The 20,590-nt window shown below is 38.4% G+C and overlaps 1 protein-coding gene across 2 annotated transcripts in view, besides 2 other annotated features; it reads right to left on the bottom strand.

Moving 5' to 3' along the window:
• Nucleotides 1-20,590, bottom strand: part of COL8A1 (collagen type VIII alpha 1 chain) — a 160,624-nt gene that overhangs the window by 101,017 nt on the left and 39,017 nt on the right. The window lies entirely within an intron of this gene.
• Nucleotides 11,065-11,124: an enhancer, noted in NCBI's record as "active region_20147". NCBI's record gives its function as "activates an Ori minimal core promoter by ATAC-STARR-seq in GM12878 lymphoblastoid cells {active_cell/tissue: GM12878}" and the evidence as "EXISTENCE:reporter gene assay evidence [ECO:0000049][PMID:35858748]".
• Nucleotides 11,175-11,264: an enhancer, noted in NCBI's record as "active region_20146". NCBI's record gives its function as "activates an Ori minimal core promoter by ATAC-STARR-seq in GM12878 lymphoblastoid cells {active_cell/tissue: GM12878}" and the evidence as "EXISTENCE:reporter gene assay evidence [ECO:0000049][PMID:35858748]".

Here is a 20,590-nt window from a genome sequence, read left to right as displayed (position 1 = left end):
AGAAAATGTGGCACATATACACCATGGAATACTATGCAGTCATAAAAAATGATGAGTTCCTGTCCTTTGCAGGGACATGGATGAAGCTGGAAACCATCATTCTCAGCAAACTATCAAAAGGACAGAAAACCAAACACCACATGTTCTCACTCATAGGTGGGAATTGAACAATGAGAACACATAGACACAGGGCAGGGAACATCACACACCGGGGCCTATCAGTGGGTGAGGGGGTGGGGGAGGGATAGCATTAGGAGAAATACCTGATGTAAATGACGAGTTGATGGGTGCAGCACACCAACATGGCACATGTATACCTATGTAACAAACCTGCACATTGTGCAGACATACCCCAGAACTTAAAGTATTATTAAAAAAAGAAGAAAAATACAATTTGGTCTGAACTGGGTTATAAATTAGGAAGTGAAGAAGAAATGCTCGAATGTGTATCCACAAATTTTTCCAAAGAAATTGGTCTTCCAAGATGTAAGCAGGTGCACTGAATCTTGAGTATCTCATGTCTTTTAACTATCTTTGGTCAGTGAGAATTTGTAGTCCTCATTGTTAGAATTGTGTATTTTTCAAGCTAGAGTCACTCCTAGGTGCTGAAAGAGTCTCAAGTCACCTTTCTAGTGCCAGAGCATTTTCAGTTAACTCCCTAAAACATGCTTTTATCTCAGCTTCCCCCATCTCTTTAGGCAATTCCAGCATTTTAAACAATTTGGTTGTTTTCCTTTTAACTTCCTAATCTGACTAATTTAATTCTGAGTCATAAACTTATAAAGTTTATTAGCAGATCTAATCATTCCAAAGCTTTCTTTGTAGCAGCTACGCCTTTAATATCTCCTGTAGTTAACAGGAAACATTTGATAGCTGAAATATACACTCAAGTTCTTTGTGTTATTTTAAATTTTGTGCCGGGCGCGGTGGCTCACGCCTGTAATCCCAGCACTTTGGGAGGCCGAGGCGGGCGGATCACGAGGTCAGGAGATCGAGACCATCCCGGCTAAAACGGTGAAACCCCGTCTCTACTAAAAATACAAAAAATTAGCCGGGCGTAGTGGCGGGCGCCTGTAGTCCCAGCTACTCGGGAGGCTGAGGCAGGAGAATGGCGTGAACCCGGGAGGCGGAGCTTGCAGTGAGCCGAGATCCCGCCACTGCACTCCAGCCTGGGCGACAGAGCGAGACTCCGTCTCAAAAAAAAAAAAAAAAAAAAAAAAAAAATTTGTGTATATTTCCGGTGGGGATTATAGCAAATGGACTAAATTACAACAAGTTATTTTTGTTAAATGTGAAAACTCAAGAAAAAAGTGGGTTTAAGAGGTTGGTGGTGAAAGTATGACAAAGTAGAGCTGAATCGGTTATACCTAAATCTGTTTCATGAATTACAAACTAATGCCTCTATTTCTGAAACTTCGGTTACAACCTTAAACTCTGGTAGTCAGAATCTGGTGTGGGCATGCCTGGTCTTCGTTTCTGTTATGATGCTGCATTAATTGCGTAACCCCGGGGACTGATGAATGGCTGCCCAGTCTCTCTTTGCTGGAGCCCTGGTAGATGGAATCTCCCACCAGTGGCTGGCCATATGCAAACAGGCCTCCAACACCTTTGGTGCTGTGCTGTCTGCCTGTCCCCTCAGAGGGATGTTCCCTCCAATCTGCTCTTCCATCTTTGGTTTCCCTCCTTGGCCCTGTTTCAAGCTCTCTTTCTGCCTTAGCCGCTGTTGGTTGCTCTAGGTGAAAATATCCCAACTGTCAGACTTGTCCTCTTCGGTCCAGGCTTCTCCTGGTAGGGGCCCCTAGCAGATCCTTCCTGCCCTTGAGGATAGGACCTGGAGAAGCTCTAAATCCTGCTAATCTTGAGAATATTTGAAATAAGTTGTTCTTAAATATCCAGGAATGGAAAGTGCTACAGAAGTTGAAACTTTTGATATCTTCACTCTTTCTGTTTAGTCTATCAGATGTCAGGATAAACAATATTTAGAATTCTAGAGTTTTTAATGAAAAAACGATTTACCTTTATACTCACCTAGCTGATACTCCTTACTTTGTTTTTTTAATTGTTTTTGAGGTGGAGCCTCACTCTGTCGCCCAGGCCGGAGTGCAGTGGTGCAATCTTGGCTCATTGCAACCTCTGCCTCCCGGCTTCAAGCAATTCTCCTGCCTCAGCCTCCTGAGTAGCTGGGATTACAGGCACCTGCCACCATGCCTGGCTAAGTTTTGTATTTGTAGTAGAGACAGGGTTTCACTATTTTGGCCAGGCTGGTCTCAAACTCCTGACCTCTAGTGATCTGCCCACCTCAGCCTCCCAGCTTGCTGGGATTCCAGGTGTGAGCCACCACTCCCAGCCTGTTTTTTAATTCTTTAACAAATTTTCAGTGATTCTTATGTGCCAGGCTTGGGGGCAAGTATTCTAGATATAACGAGGAACAAAACCTTTGGTTCCTGCTCTACAGAGCCTATATTTTGTGCAATACATGTTAAAAAGAAGGAAAACAACAAATAAATGAATGATGAAAAATTGTGGCAATGCTATGATAGAAAGAAAAGTAGGAGGGAGAGAGGACCGGAAAAGCAGGAAAAGAGAAGGAGGGAAAGACGGAGAGAGAGAGAGAGAGTAAGAGAAAGAGGGAGGGAAGGAGAAGAAAGAACATCCAATCCAGCTGGTCTTCTGATTTTTAATTATTTTTATTTTTTATGGAGAAACCTGACCACTAACTGCAAATCTCACCCATGATGGTGAAAAAATTCTTCAGTTTTCTCTTGGAATTTTTTGATACAAAAAACAAGAGACCATGACAATTCAATTATCTTAAGACTTAAATGCTGGTTTATTACCAAAAATGGCTTTTAAATTGTTTAAAAATCATTTATGCTTTTCTCTTAAATTTACCATTTTCTTCTAACCTCTTAAGATTAACATGTTTTGTGGGGACTACTATGACTAATGTAAAATACCTCTTGAGTAATTTTTATTTTGATTACATGTTGAAATGACAATATTTGAGAAATATTGGCTAAATAAAATATATTATTGAAATTAACCTGTTTCATTTTACTTTTTAAATATGACTGCTAGATAATTTATAATTATATATGTAGCTCTCATATTTCCATTAAGTAGTACTCCTATAGGATCTTGGTAGGAAAATTTATTTATTATTTGGTTGGATTGTGGTTTAAGATGAGTACTCTTAACTATTACTAAACAAAAGAAAATATTTGCTCACAGAGGATGTTAATTATATTCCCTAACATCTGTCTTTTATAAGAGTTTACTGCAGCTTTTACTCCTGCCAGTAGTAAAAAACTTCTTGAGAACCAAGAAGGTATGCATTTTGCTCAGTTCTTAGCTTCCTTTCATGCTAGACATTTTTATTATTTGGCTAAACTTTGTAAATCACCTAATCTTGTCACACTGAAGAATGCTGATCTATCAATAAAGCCCTGCAATCTTATATAAGATGAAGAGGTTAAGAACAAAGAATCCCTCAAAGGTACAAAGATTTGCAGGTAGCAAAGAATTGAAGAATGAGGAAGATAATTGATAATTTAGATTTATCAGGCATAAAACAAACACTGAAATTAACTTTTGATTTGACACATTTAGTTTGACAATTCTCTGATGTGATGATCATGTTAAATGCTATGAGGGAGGAGAAAAAGATCATTTTCAAAGCGTGCACATGGCACCATGCAGTTCTTTTTTTCTTTTCTTTTTTTTTTGAGATGGAGTCTCACTTTGTTGCCCAGACTGGAGTGGAGTGGTGCGATCTCGGCTCTCTGCAACCTCCGCCTCCCAGGTTCAAGTGATTCTCTTGCTTCAGCCTCCTGAGTAACTGGGGCTACAGGCACCATGACCAGCTGATTTTTATATTTTTAGTAGAGATGGGGTTTCATCATGTTGGCCAGGCTGGTCTCGAACTCCTGACCTCAAATGATCTGCCTGCCTCAGTCTCCCAAAGTGCTGGGATTACAGGTGTGAGCCACTGCACCCAGCCACTTTTTCTTTGTTCTAAGTACAATTATCTGTCACATGATAGTGATGTGTTTTGAGAAATGCGTCATTAGGCAGTTTTGTCACTGTGTGAACATCATAGAGCGTACTTACACAAGCCTAGATCGTAGAGCCTACTACACACCTAGGCTATAGGTATAGCCTGTTGCTCCTAGGCTACAAACTTGTACAGCAAGTTTCTGTGCTGAATACTGTTGGCAATTGTAACACAGTACTATTTGTGTATCTAAACATAGAAAAGCTACAGTAAAAATACGGTATAAAAGTTTAAAAATAGTATACCTGTATAGGGCACTTTACATGAATGGAGCCTGTAGGACTTGAAGTTGCTCTGGGTGAGTCAGTGAGTGAGTGGTGAGTGAATGTGAACACCCAGGACACTACTGCACATTATTGTAGACTTTATAAACATTGTATACTTTGGCTTCATTAAATTTATAAACATTATTTTTCTTCAATAATAAATTAACCTTAGCTTATTGTAACATTTCTTCCTTTTAATTTTTTAACGTTTTGAGTCTTTTAAAATAACAGCTTAAAACAAACATTGTACAGCACTACAAAAATGTTTCTTTCTTTGTATCCTTATACTATAAGCGTTTTTCTATTTTTATATTCTTTTATCTTTTTACTTTTTAGACTTTTCTTTTGTTAAAAACACAAACACACACATTGGCCTAGGCCTACACAGGGTCAAGATCATCAATATCACTGTTCTCCACACCCACATCTTCACATCTTGTCCCACTGGAAGAACTTCAGGGACAGTAATACACATGGAACTGTCATATCCTATGCCTTCTTTTGGAAAACCTGCCTGAGGCTGTTTTACAGTTAACTTTTTTAAATATATTTAGAAGGAGTACACTCTAAAATAATGATAAAAATATGGTATAGTAAATACATAAGCAATAGCATAGTCATTTACCATCATCAAATTTTATGAACTGTACATAATTACATGTGCGATACTTTTGTTTTTATTTTTGTTTTTTTAGACAGAGTCTCGCTCTGTCGCCCAGGCTGGAGTGCATGGCACAATCCTGGCTCACTGCAACCTCCACCTCCCAGGTTCAAACGATTCTCCTGCCTCAGCCTCTCCAGTAGCTGGGATTACAAACACGCGCCTCTCAAGTAGCTGGGATTACAAACACACGCCACCACGCCTGGCTAATTTTTATATTTTGAGTAGAGACAAGGTTTCACCATGTTGGTCAGGTTTGTCTTGAACTCCTGACCTCAAATGATCTGCCTGCCTTGGCCTCCCAAAGTGTTGGGATTACAGGCGTGAGCCACGCGTCCAGCCATGTGCAATACTTTTATACCGCTGGCAGTGCAGTAGGTTTGTTTATACCAGCCTTGCCACAAACACCTGAGTAATATGTTGTGTTATGATGTTACAATGGCTACAACTTGACTAGGCTACAGACTTCAGCTCTATGGTGATCTTACGGAACTACTGTAATATATGCGGTCTGTGGTTGACCAAAACGTCTTTATATAGCTCATGACTGTATAGTACCTAGGACTTTTTCCCAGGCAAAACCTAGAATAGTCTTGAGGCAAATTGAAGAACACATTTGACTTGCTAAGGCCAAATGCAGTGTGATCAATTGTTCATTCAAATGGTTTTGTTACTCTTCCTGATTTTGATAGTACTAACTTGCCTTTTTTCTTGGTCACTGTCAGTGACAAGAATGAAAAAAGGAGTGGGAACAAAATGGAAAAGAAAAGATTGCCCCAAGGCAAAAGAGACTTGTTACCAGGGAATATACAAATGTCCATTAAACTCAATATTAGTTTAGATATGGCCATAATATTATTTTCTCAGCCTACTATCCATTTTTCTGTGGTTGTTTGAGACATACTTGGTTTTTTGAGCTACAGAAGGTTTCAGTTGTTTTAGACAAGGTAAATGCAGGTTGCTGAGGAGTTATTGATTAAAACTGGGCTTGTGAGCATCTTGTACCATGGATGTATGTAGTTTCTGCCAGTTTTCATAATTGAATTACACTTGGTGGTGGTGGTGGTTGTGGTTGGTGTGTGTGAGTAGGGGTTGGTGGTGAGAGACAGAGGAAAGAGGAGAGTAAACATCTGGCCCAAGTATTGAGGCTTTGCTACCACCTGGAAGAGGAATGAGGTACCCTGTAACTCAACTCTTCTCTAAGTATCTCCAGGAATAACGTGATTTCATTAAAAAGTAGTCATTTTTAGGCTTAAAAAAGGGCTTTTCTGCAAGAAGAAAGCATTGGTATTCATTTGTTGTAACATTAACACTTGGCAATTTGATCCTATCCCTTTGGTACCATTCTCTTGAAACGTTATAATAAAGCACACTGGAAAACTAATAACAAAATCTGGGTTCTGTTCCTAATTAGCTGTTTGGTTTCAGGAAATCAACTTTACCTCTCTGGGCCTCAGTTACCTTACCTGTTGAAAGAGAGGGCTTGGATTACTAGAGGCTTTTTTTTTTTTTTTTTTAAAAAAAAAAAAAGCTCACTGCTAATTCTTCCCTTAGAATGAAGCCCCATGAGGGTGGCTGGGTGGCAGTGAGGTAGGTAGAGAGTGGTCTGAGGGGCCAGGAAGAGAGTTAGCAAACCTGTGTACTGGCCCACCTGGGGGTCTTATAAAAAGGCAGATTCTGGGGTGAGGCCTGAGTTTCTACATTTCTTCCAAGAAGATCCCAGGTGATGCTGATGCTGCTGGTCCATGGACCACACTTTGAGTAGCAAGACGCTAGATGACTTCTTCCCCAACTTTCTCATTCCATAGGTGAAACTGGATCCTAGAAAAGCAAAGTGATTTACCCAAGCTCACACAACAGTTGGGTAGTACACCCTATATAAGAATTCATGGTATCATGACTATCAGTTTGATGACAATATCACTTGCTACATCTCTCATATGGCTTCTGCTGCTAAAAGCCATTTGAGGATGACATTTTGTGGTTCACCTGTCTTAGAAGGCGTTCTGGGCTCAGTATTTTGGCCACATTATCTCATTCACTTTCACAATTTCACCTCAAACATAGGCAACACAGTCATCCCTTGGTATACCCAGGGGATTGGTTCTAGAAATTCGTGCATGCTCAAGCCCGCCATCAGCCCTGCAGAACTTGCATACAGGAAAAGTCAGCCTTTTGGTATCCTGTGAATACTGAATTTTCAAGCTGTGCTTGGTTGAAAAAAATTCATGTGTAAGCAGACCCTTGCAATTCAAATCCACATTGTTCAGGGGTCAACTGTGGTTGTTAGGAAAATTAGATTTGTTGCATTAACTAATTTCATGGCTTTAATCTCCATCTAGAATTCCCCTTGCAGGTTTGTGCATTGTGCACAGAGAGGAAGTCAGAGTCCTCCAGGGAAAATATCCTGTTTGCTAATTCCGTGAATTTTAACAGCTGTCCATTCATGCTCCTCAGGTGATATCAGCTACAACAAAGATTGTTTTTAGATGACTAGGGCCCACATTCTGTGGAACATTATGAGTTAAGATAAAATGAAAGTTAATTACTTCTCAAAGCAAAGGGGTAGCCAATACAAACCATGCTACCACCAGTAAAATAACTGCCACATTGTCTTTCATGTTCATCATCCACATCCAATAATATTTTTTGAGTCCCTGGGGGTGCAAGGCAGTGATTAACAAAGTTAATCAAGAAAAGAGAGCCTGTACCTCTAGGGACTTTAAAAACTAAGGTAGAATGCATTTTAAAATATCCATTACCCTAGAATTTGTTCCCACCTTCATCTGAGGAAAATAAAATTTTTTCTAATCTAGATAGATCAGGATTTCCCAAAATACATTCCTTAGGACATTAGTCTCATGAAATGCTCTTAGAGAAAAAAATGTTTTTTATCACATAAATTTAGGACTGACTGATTAATATATATTTTCCTTTAAGTTTCACAAAGCACAGAAGAATATTAAAGTATCAGAAGTTTTATAATGTCATTTTAACTTTGTTTAATAACATTTCCTAATCCTATTTGACCACAGATCTTACCCCATTCTCCACCCACTCTTCCTCATGTAATGCCTATTAAGATCCTGTAGAACTAACAAACAGTGGCATACACTTTGGGAAATGCTAATTTCTCAGTTTGCTTTGTCTATAGTTATCGGGCTGATGTCTTATGTGGAATGTGTCAGTACAAATTGTTTGGAAATGCTGTTTTTTAAGGGCATGCATTTTAACTGTCATATTTTAAAGAAAAATAAAAAGGAAGATTTTTAGGTAAAGTGTGTAAACAGTAGCCCGAGTTTGTCTTTCTGGGTGTGACCGCTTTCAGCATTTCTCCATGAGCAGTTTGGTTCACTGTCCTTTGCTGTTCTCTCGTCTGTGAGGAAGTTGAATAGATGGGAAGACATTTTTAGAGTTCAAAGTTAAAAATTCAGGCTTTGCTGATGTTGGTTGCATCCAGGTCTGTGTTTTTCAAAGTATCATATGTGCATCTAATATTGAGAAACTTTTAAATGGCACATGGATGAATGTTAAATAATTTATAGCCATATATTTAATTTAATGTGTTGTAGAAGAATTACATATTGCTAAAGTAGTATCTATGTTTAAAAAAGTAAGTCAATTTAAAGATAAATTCCAAATAAATAATGGCAAAAATTATGAAAAGAAGTGTACAAATGACTAAAGCTTGGGAATTAATGCCTAGGGGATTAACCAAGAAATGGGTTCCAGGGCCTGGTCTGTATCTTTTTAGAGATGCTATCACCTCTGTGCCTGAGAACAATCACAGTATAATGGAAATAATGCTGGGTTAAGATTGAGGAGATTATGGTCTGTGGAAACAAAGACAGTATGACTTGATTCCTGCCACTAAGGGCTCACAGCTTTTGGAGATGTTGCATACTAAGTTTCTACTCTTAGTCTGATATCCAAGTAATTAAATGCCTCATATGTAACCCTACACTCGAACAGGCCATGTAGATGAGTTAGTGTCAGTGAATAAAACTCAACTCTGACTTCCTTGGACAAATAAAATTAGTAGTAAATTTAGCCAAAAATGCTGAGATAAATGACTTACACTTGCCCTTTTAAATTAGTCATTAATTAATATCGCTGGATCTTTTGCTTTCTAAGAGTTATTGCCTTAAAGGGGCCATTACAATAATTTGGCTGCTTTCTGTGTAGAATAGTGGTTCTCTACTGAGGGTGATTTTTGTCCATCTATGGGACATTTGGCTATGTGTGGAGACACTTTTGATTGTCACAGCTGGGGAGGGGAGAATGTCTATGGGCATCTAGTAAAAGTCCAGGGATGTTTCTAAAACTCTCACAATGCACAGGTCAGCCTCCTACAGCAAAGAAATATCTGGTCCAAATTTCAATAGTGCTGAGGGTGAGAAATCCTGAGTTGGACTGACTTAGGCAGGAAGAATTGAACATGATGATGACGGAGCTCAATCACACGGGCTCACTGGGCATATTTGAACAAAATTTTTAATGCTGCCAATGCATTATTTTCCTTCAGAGATGAAGTAATAATAATACAGTAAACTAGCCGTGGTATGCTGAATAATGAACCTCCCAAAATGTTCATGTCTCAATCCCCAGAATCTATGAATATATTGTTTTCCATGGCAAAGGGGACTTTGCAGGTGTATTAAGTTAAGGATCTTGAGATCCTGAGATGGGGTGACTATCCTGGATTGCTTGGGTGGGCCCAATCTGATCACCAGGGTTCTTATAGAGGGAGGGTAAAAGTCAGAAAGGAAGATGTGCTGCCGAAAGCAGAGGTTGGAACGATGCGCTCTGAAGTTGGAAGAAGAGTCCACAAGATAAGAAATGCAGGCAGCTTCAGAAGCTGGAAAGACAAGGAAACATTTGCCCCAGGAGCCACCAGAAGGAATGCAGCCCTATTGACACCTTGGTTTTAGCTCTGTAAAACTTTTGTGGATTTCTGATCTCCAGAATGGTAAGATACTAAATTTGTGTTGTTCGATGACACTAAATTTGTGGTGGTTTGTTACAACAGTAAGCAAGAAATACATTATCATTTGGCATAATTTGAGAGCAGATATGTGTTTCCACATATAACATAAATAGATTTCATATTTTCACTGTATTAAAACACAAAACACAGCTAAACCTATAGCTATTTGGAACATTTTATTCCAATGTTTGGGAGGCATTTTGGGATTTTGCATGAATATTGATGATCATACGGGTGAAGTGCTGGTGGATGTAACAGCTGGTTGATAGAATCCTAAATAAGCCAACTCTCTTGTGCTGCTTTCTTTTACGGGCACTTTATGGGGATAATAATCCATCAAGTATGTTGGAAGATGCAGAGTACAAGGAACTATTGTGACAGTAGCTGAACAACTATTTGCAAAATTGCCAAAATGATAAACATTTATTATGCTCTTGCTTAAATGGTTTCATTAATTTTTACAACTATGTTAAGCTGGTTGTTATTATAATGTTATTAGTATAATACATTTCTCACCAAATCCTCAGTGAAATGCTGCTTTTCAGTTTGAACCCTGAATAAAGATGGTGTCAGTTTTCCCTGGTCTGTATCAGCTACGTGTGCAAGCAATTGGATGATATTAAGAGCACAGCAGAGTCTTCTACTGCCAGCACCTAGTGTATATATTCCTAGGTGCTCTGGTGTGCACATCCGCAGCTTCCTGCCCAGGCATAGCTCCCCACTCTCAACCTCATCGCATGGAGTGCAATTCTCTCATCTACTCCTCTCCATTTGTGACATGTGAAAGTTTTACACACACACACACGTGAACAGATAAGGATAAGTAACATTTGCATGATGCCTAACAGCACACAAAGTGCATTTTGCCTCCATTATCATACAATCCTTAGCACAAACACTGTTATTATCAATATTTTGCAGATTAGGAAATATGGGCTAAAAGAGTTTCAGTGACTTGTCTAATGTCAAAAAGGCAATAAGTAGTTGAGGAAAGACTTGAATTTTAATTCTTTGACCTGGAAACCATTGGTTGGTCTGCCGCTAGGTGGCTCCACATTGCCTTTGGATTTTCAGAGATGGACAGTTACAGGCCGGATGCCGTGGCTCCTGCCTGTAATCCCAGCACTTTGGGAGACTAAGGCAGGAGGATCGCTTGAGTGCAGGAGTTCAAGACCAGCCTGGGCAACATAGCGAAACTCCCTACTCTATAAAAAACAAAAAAATTGGCTGGGTGTAATGGCTCATGCCTGTAATCCCAGCACTTTGGGAGGGAGGCAGGGGTTGCAGTGAGCCAAGATCGTGTCATTGCTCTGCAGCCTGGGCAGCAAGAGTGAGACTCTGTCTCAAAAACAAACAAACAGAACCCCCCCCAAAAACAAACAAACAAAAATTAGCCAGGCATGGTGGCATGTGCCTGTAGTCCCACCTACTTGGGAGGCTGAGATGGGAGGATCACCTAAGGCTAGGGAGGCTGAGGCCACAGTGAGCTGTGATCACGCCACTGGGTGACAGAGTGAGGCCCTGTCTTAAAAAAGAAAAAAAGTAATAAGAGATGAGCAGTTATAGAGCTCAGCTAAAGTCATTGTGATGATCACACTGAGCACTTATAGCAGGAGTGCCCACTGTGTGGTCCAGTCCACTTGCTCCTAATGTTCTCTTGCTCTGAAGACTGTATTCCTTTGCCTCTGGGCCTTGAGAGACCTCCTACTGAATCTTCACTGTTCTTCTTAGGATAGGATAAGGAAGGCATTTCTTTGACTTCTGGTTTTCATAAGACCCTCTCCCCAGGGTCTTTCCTCCTTTGTGAATTCAATCTTTCTCTAAATTTACTCTCTCTGAAATCTATTAAATAAAGCAACTTGGAGTGTAATAAATGATTAGCTACTTTATTGTTCTCTTTTCTTTGTTTTCATACATTGTTAACAAGGTTTATACTAAATTGAATGAAATGTATCATTAGTATTACATAGTGTATTGTAGTAAATTATATTAAAAGATGTCTGCAGGTCTTTGGTAAAAAATGTAACTAATGGTAAAAAATGGTTCTATTATTATTTTGAGGATGCGACATGTTGTTTAAATTTACTGTGCATTGTCTGGGAAATTTTAGGACTTATTTAGGGCTATGTGATTAGTTCTGATGAAGTGAGTTGATGCTTGGTTACAATTGATTACAATGATTTTGGTTTTGTGTGGATTTTTCAAAACTAGCTACCTCTAGGAGATTTTGTCCTACTACTTGATGAGGGAGATAATATTAAGATTTATTAGAGCCAAAAGTATTTTATGTAATATTGAAAACAACAAAGATAAAAATAAAACCTCTCATATGGTTAAAAATGTTGCCAACTCCCTTGCTATGTGCCTCACATGGGTAAAGTAGTCTGACTATTATATTCATATTTATTTAATCACAGAGAACTGCCATGGTAAATAAACTAGCACTCTTATTAAGAACTTACTCTATTTATTACCATATTGTAGACTTAAATAAATAAAATCAACATGATTTGGCCATAGGCTTTTAGTATCCAGAGGAAAGTTCTGTATGTATGGATTGAAAACAAAATCATTTACACTATGTGGAAAGGTATCAGAAGAAGAATTCTAAATGGAAAACCAACATAGGAGAATTAATAAAAAGACTCTACAATTCCATAACATGAGACAGAGAGAAAAGGTAGAAAAAATACCTATTGCGAAAGGGCATAGTATAGACTGTGCAGGGACGGGTGAGTCTCACTTCTTAACTTCACGTTGACACGTTTATGTTTGGCAAATTTCTAAGATCATGCAGAAACTAAAAAAGACATAAGATTAGCAAGGATAGAAATAATATATTAACTTTACTATCCAGTATAATGTGACTAATAATATTATTTCATGATTCTACATAGAAAATTAAAAGTAGAAGCCTGAAATGTATGGCATTTGGAAGATATTAAGATTTGGGGCATACCAAAAGCATGTAAATTCTTATTCCTTCTCATTGCTTTTGATGATGGTAAGACAGTGTTAAGAAGTATTCCTTTCCATTAGCTTCCAATGCTGTATTTTGCATCATCTGCATTTGTTTTCTTAGAGTCTGAGCTTTCATTTTAGTTGGTTGATGTCATTTTTTTCTGAGTTTTTATTATATTAAGAATAAATTTATTCCTCAGAATGAGGTACTAAAATGGTATATTAACATTTTTAAAGACGGTAAAATCTGCAAACTACTCAGAAAGATTTACTTTATGAATAGCATAGTTCAGTTTTAAGTATCACTGGAGGAAGTGGGTAGAAAAGCAATGCCTTTCATTCTCCCCTCCCAACTGCAATTACGCCAGCAAATAGGATGATAATTCAGTCATGCTAATCCAGTCCAAAAATATTTCCATTTCTTTTAAGAGTGAGACCTTGAGATCCACTTGAATTCTTGTACCGCCTCTTCTTCCCAGTGCCTTTTTAAATTTTGGCAACTTTTTGCAATTAGGTAATGGAAGCACAATTCCCGTTCAGAAAATTACTCTACAAGGAGCCAAATTCAGACATTATAAAGTAAACATACAACTCTACCTTAAGAAATGATTCCATCATTAAAATAAATACTGACAATTCACAAATAGCAATGGGAAACGGGTTATTGAGATCTGACTACTGTCCATTTCAGCAGGAAAAAGATGAACAACTGGGTTGAATTGAGTGATAAACTCTTAATAAAGATTAACAATTGCTCATTCAATATGCCTTATGTATACTGTTCTATCTTTTTACAGCTTTCAGGACCAAATGCCAATAAATGATGCCAGTACCCCAACCCTCCTGCTTTAGGAAGGCAGGCAGAGAGATACATTTGAGTCTGAATCCTGACTCTAACTTGGTAGCTAGACAGATAGCCTTAGGAAATTTGTCCAATTTTACACATTTAAAATAGAAATAATGACCCTTGCCTTACAAGATTGTTTTTAGGGATATAGAGAATATATATAAAATGTCCAGTACAGTACTAGGCACCCAGGAGGAGCTCATTACACAGTGACTAAATTTGAGAAGAGAGCCCTTCTTGTAAATTCATGCTCTAAATTTGATTCGGTGGCATGGTGGCCTTCCATCACCTGCTACATGACAGGCCTAAACAAGTCCAGAACATCATGGGATTTCAGACCCGAGAGCACTGAGCACTGAAGTAGTGTCCAAGAATCAGAACCTGGACCTGCTTGACCGCTCTGAACAGTGTACATAGTCAATTCACTAAAACTGAACAAAACAAACAAACAAACTAAAACTTCATCTCAGTTTTTGGCCCCAAAACCTAATTTCATGAAATGTTGGTTTTTTTTTAGCTTATTGTTTTGGTCTTATAGAGACAAAGTCCAGTCACAGCACTTCTGTTGGGCTGAAAGCATGCACTTAGGTAAAAACAGAATGTTTGCAATATGACAATATTGGGTTAAATATTTGGGCTTTTCTTTCAATGTGAGCTTGTTTGTGGCACAGTCAGGGTAACTGGAAAGAATCATTTGATTGAGAGGATTCCTGAGGGTTCATTTAGAATTACTGAGTCACTGAAGCTCAGGCTGGAAGAAATCTTGTGGTCCTATCCACCTGCTTCCCAGAAGGACAACCCACTCCTTTGAAAAAAAAAACCCTAAAATTTATCGTGTCCCTCAAGAGCTGCCAAAAAGAGAGTTCTGAAGTTTTAAACAATCATGAGGGATGCTTACACATTGTGCCTAATTATAGGTCTTTCTACATCTAAATGAAACAAAAACTTATTTCCATTTTCAATGAAAAGTCTTATTTTCAATGAAATACGTCTTAGTTTGTGAAATAAGTTCCAGTTTATATATTATCTCCTGTGATTTTCTTTTCCTTCTTTTCCAGCTGAGAACTTTCATTTATTTATTTTTTATTCAATCATTCTTTAACAGATATTTTATTGGTAGCTATTATGTGCCAAGCCCTGGCTGGGTAAAATTTTGGTAAATATGGAAAGGAGCAAAGGACAGACTTTGACTTGTAGAATATAGAGTCTTATGGGGGAGAAAGGCATGTAAAAATAATTAAAATATGATAAGTACTATAATAAAACTATGAAAAAATTCTATGAGAATTCTACAACTCCAAACCACTTAAGACACTTCTTTTTAAAAAATTTCACATACATGTTATTTAATTCTGAACATACAAAGGAGAAAGCAAACAATGACCCTACTGGTGATTTTTCTCTCTGGACTTTCAAAAAGTTCATACAGAAGATAATGATTCTCTATTCTATTTTTTCTACACTTCGTGGCATATTTCACACTTAATGTCAGCGAGTTCTTTCCTCTGCAACCCAAATCCCTTATTCAGAAGGTAAAGTGGGGAGGGAGCTCGTGCTCCACTGAGTGCTAAACACAACAATGCTGTGTGGTTGTTATTATTTTTCTGATTTTTCAGATTTTATTTACCATTGAATTTCTGATGTGAGAGTGTACATGCTCAACAGATACTGTTCAATAGGTAAGAGAGGAAATTGAGCATTGGAGAGCTTAACGGAGATGCCTGAGGTCACAAAGCTGGTGAGAGCTTATATGTTCTATGATCTTTCTACAACTCTAAACCACTTAAGGCACTTCTTTTTTTTTTTTTTAATTTCACATTCCTTTTACTTAATTCTGAACATAAAAGTCAGACCAGAAGTACCCCAACCTTATAAGGATTTAAAATATTTATAATACAGAATCATGATGTAACATGTTTCATGTCCTTGTTAGTGAGCAGGTGATTATAATACTGTGACAAAAGCATGCTTAAGACACTTCTAATTATTATCATTATTATTATTATTGAGACAGGGCCTTGCTCTGTCATCCAGGCTGGAGTGCAGTGGCACAATCTTGGCTCACTGCAGCCTTGACCACCCAGGGCTCAAGCCATTCTGCCATCTCAGACTCCCGAGTAGCTGGGATTACAGGCGTGCACCGCCAGGCCCAGCTAATTCTTTTTGTTTTTTAGTAGAGACAAGGTTTCACCATGTTGCCCAAGCTGGTCTTGAACTCCTGCCCTCAAGTCATCCTCCCGCCTTGGCCTCCGAAAGTGCTGGGATTACAGGCATGACCCACCGAACCCGGCCGGCACTTCTAGTTATTTCACAGTTGGTAGAGATGGAGAACTTCGGATTTGTATAAAAGGCCTTCCTAGATTTGAAAGTTAAATTCAATAGTTTCCCTTTCTTATTCCAAAGAAAACTGCAGCTAATTATGTGAGACTCAGGGCAGCAGAGCCTCATGGTGAAGAGAGCTGGCTCTGGAGTCCAACACCCTGGTTGCATATCACACTCTGCTGCTTGCTAGCCATATGGTGACTCTTAGTCTTCTCATCTCCAAAATGAGAATAGTGGTAACACTTTTTTTACAGGGCTGTTGTGAATGAAAGATGATAACCAATGTAATATACTTAGCACAAGCCTCAGTATAGAAGCCCTTCATACACATGAGCTAATATTAGCCTCATATCTGTCTTAGTCTTAAAGTGGTGAAAATCTCCCTTAGTGACTTGTTTCGGGTACCCAACCAGAAAATAATTTGGGTCTAACCCAAAGCACCACCTGCTGTTGTAATTGAAAGCAGTCTTCTTGTGTTTTAGTCTTTGAGGAAATAGAGAGCAGCTGGTCTTTCATATTCTTGATGACTTTTATTAAGCCACACTTCATAGTTTTTGTTTCTAGACTAAATACACTCCCCACTCAAACTCTTTCTACCTCCTTTAAACTTTCTTCATAAATCTTTTTTTTAATTCCTCCCTCCAATCTTTCAGTCTCCTTTGGACCCTATGGAACAAGGCCACTGGTGTGAAAATTTTACGGATGGAAAATACAAGAGATTTTTCTCAGCAAATAAGTAAGGTCTGCTTTTGAGAAGTGTCTGTTCATATCCTTCGCCCACTTTTTGATGGGGTTGTTTGATTTTTTTTCTTGTAAATTTGTTTAAGTTCTTTGCAGATTCTGGATATTAGCCCTTTGTCAGATGGATAGATTGTAAAAATTTTCTCCCATTCTGTAGGTTGCCTGTTCACTCTGATGGTAGTTTATTTTGCTGTGCAGAAGCTCTTTAGTTTAATTAGATCTCATTTGTCAATTTTGGCTTTTGTTGCCATTGCTTTTGGTGTTTTAGTCATGAAGTCCTTGCCCATGCCTATGTCCTGAATAGTATTGCCTAGGTTTTCTTCTAGGGTTTTTAGGGTTTTAGGTCTAACATTTAAGTCTTCAATCCATCTTGAATTAATTTTTGTATAAGGTGTAAGGAAGGGATCCAGTTTCAGCTTTCTACATATGGCTAGCCAGTTTTTCTAGCATCATTTATTAAATAGGAAATCCTTTCTCCATTTCTTGTTTCTGTAAGGTTTGTCAGAGATCAGATGGTTGTAGATGTGTGGTATTATTTCTGAGGGCTCTGTTCTGTTCCATTGGTCTATATCTCTGTTTTGGTACCAGTACCATGCTGTTTTGGTTACTGGAGCCTTATAGTATACAGAAATGCAAATCAAAACCACAATGAGATACCATCTCACACCAGTTAGAATGGCAATCATTAAAAAGTCAGGAAACAACAGGTGCTGGAGAGGATGTGGAGAAATAGGAATACTTTTACACTGTTGGTGGGACTGTAAACTAGCTCAACCATTGTGGAAGACAGTGTGGCGATTCCTCAAGGATCTAGAACTAGAAATACCATTTGACCCAGCCATCCCATTACTGGGTATATACCCAAAGGATTATAAATCATGCTGCTATGAAGACACATGCACATGTATGTTTATTGCGGCACTATTCACAATAGCAAAGACTTGGAACCAACCCAAATGTCCATCAATGGTAGACTGGATTAAGAAAATGTGGCACATATACACCATGGAATACTATGCAGCCATAAAAAAGAATGAGTTCATGTCCTTTGTAGGGACATAGATGAAGCTGGAAACCATCATTCTGAGCAAACTATCGCAAAGACAGAAAACCAAACACCGCCTGTTCTCACTCATAGGTGGGAATTGAACAATGAGAACACTTGGACACAGGAAGGGGAACGTCACACACCGGGGCCTGTCATGGGGTTGGGGGAGGTGGGAGGGATAGCATTAGGAGATATACCTAATGTAAATGATGAGTTAATGGGTGCAGCACACCAACATGGCACATGTATACATATGTAACAGACCTGCACATTGTGCACATGTACCCTAGAACTTAAAGTATAATAAAAAAAAGAAAATAAGTAGGGTCCATAATTGCTGACCTAGAATTACTGGAAAACCTCAACCTAGATGGTTGAAGTAACAGTTGCTAATGAAGTAACTCAGGAATGGAAGTTTTTGTGGTATTAAAAATACACCCCAATCCATATTTATGTATCTTTCAGCTACAGTAATTAATCTTGTTAATGTGTTTTTCTCATCTCCCAAATAGAAATTCTGACTTGGTCACTGCCATGCCAGAAACAGATTGAACCTTTTCTACAAATATAAACCAATTTCCAAAAAGACTAGAATAGTTCTGAAAATGCCTGTGGAGATAATTTATCTCATCTCTCTTGTTTGACAGATGAGGCAAGCAAACTTAGAGAGGTTAAATGACTTGCTCAAGATCATACACCAAGTTAGTGAAAGAGTAAAGTATTTTGACTTCCATTGCAAGACTCTTTATTTGATATTAACAACTGTTTCTCCTGTTGATGATTTCAATAGGCCACTATTGGTGAATGAAATGCAGTTGTCTAACAATGACTGGAAACTCTATTATAGAAGGACAGAGGGAGACTTTCCACAACTTATTGGATAGATATACTTTTTCTATTTTCTGGGGATTATAGAGAGCAAACAGTAATGAGATCCTATAAAGAGAACATAGGTGTGAAGGGTTTTGCTTTCTTGTTCTCTGTTCTTTTCTTTGCTATTATACAAACGTCACTTCTCATGTGTCCAGCTTCCATCTGGATTGAACACAAAAAGAGAAGTCAGTAGTAATATTATTTCATATTCTTAAACTGGTCTTCCTAGGCTTTGACAATTACCTAATGAGTATTTTCAAGCACATCTTGGACTTGGAAGATTGCAACCTTGGCTCAGAAAGAAACAATCTTATTCTTCAGGCTATTTTTCTCAAGCTCTGAAAGCTTTAGTGAAATAATGCACATATGGTGCTCATCTCAGATGACTGCTAGAAGTTGCCGAGTTCTTTATCCATAACAGATAGCTATGTGGATAGAGTGAGTATGTGTGTCAATATTTATACGGATAATCATCTGTGCTTTTCATCCCTCAATATATAGGACAATTTAATTTCTAGTGCAAGAAAGAAAAATCTAAACATATTTTTAAGTGTAAGATAATAAAATGAATCCTAAGGAGTTGGTTTTTGAATGAATTGTCTTATATTCCCAATGTGAAAAATACTATCTAATACATTTTTGCTATTTTACTACTATCTTTCCCATTGACTTCACCTCAACAACATTAGTAACTATTTTTGTAACTACTAGTAACTATTAGTAACACCTCAACAACAATAGTAACTATTTTTGTGGAGAATAGACCATTCTGTCATGGATTTTTTTTTATAGCACACATAAGGGAGTCTTGAGAGGCAGCATAGTGCAGAAAATGACAACAACAAACAACAACAACAAACAACCCAGAAAAATGGAGATCTACGCTACTATCTGGGAGAACTTCTAGATGCCCAATATGCTCACATTTCTTGGTCTCAAAGCTTCTCTTCGGCTGAGCACAATGCTGGCAACATATCTTTCTAGTGCATTCATCTCCCCTTCCGTATTCACCATTGTCTTTCCTTCTAAAAGTCTTCTCTGGGCCAAGGAGGAAAATATCCCAGGCACTTTTATTACATGCTGTATTGTGTCCAAGTCAGCATGGCCAAGCAGTGGTTGAGAAACAAACCAGCAGTTGTTTGAAAACTATCACTGGCCAATGACTCAGCCCCCAACATTTCAGACAAGTTGTTTTGGGAATTGTATGGCCTCAAGCAGGGAAAAGGCAGACTTGCTCACCCGCATGTTAAAGGGTCAAAAGCAAGGAAGATGGTAATTTGTTCCCCTGTTTAAATGTGTTCCACCCACTCACAGCCACAAGTGGGAGTGAAGGATGGGCTTTTGACCTAAGGGTGGAGCCATACTGGTCCCCCTCATTTCCTTGTAGGGATGTTGGGGAGACCAGTGAGATCATGTCTATAAAGTGGATTGACTGGAATGTGCTCATGTTGTCCAATGTGAATTATGCTAGTAAGATTTTCTTTAATTTTTCTTTTCTTTTCTCACAGTCACAAACCATTGGCAACCTGTGTAGATTTTCCCATGTCCTTACATTCAAGTCTCTCTGCCAGCACACTCTGGGTAATTCACTTTTGGTTTTGTGTAAATGGCCAAGTCCTAGCTCTTTGTCTTGTGAAGCCTTCCCATAGACAGCTGAAGCTGTTCTGAGCGAGGAACTGTATGGAAACGTCTGGAGGAGTAAAAAGAGGATTTCAAGTTGGCCCTGAAGTCTAGCAAATTCATCATAAATTCACACATTATTTGAGTACTTTCCACCTTGCCTGACGTAGTATTCAGAAATTCTCTATTAGTTCAAAATTGCTTCCGTAA

The sequence above is a fragment of the Homo sapiens genome, chromosome 3, assembly GCF_000001405.40.
Source record: "Homo sapiens chromosome 3, GRCh38.p14 Primary Assembly".
Taxonomy (NCBI): domain Eukaryota; kingdom Metazoa; phylum Chordata; class Mammalia; order Primates; family Hominidae; genus Homo; species Homo sapiens.
Note: the sequence above shows the minus strand (reverse complement) of the source record. Positions and strands in the feature narration are given on the sequence as shown.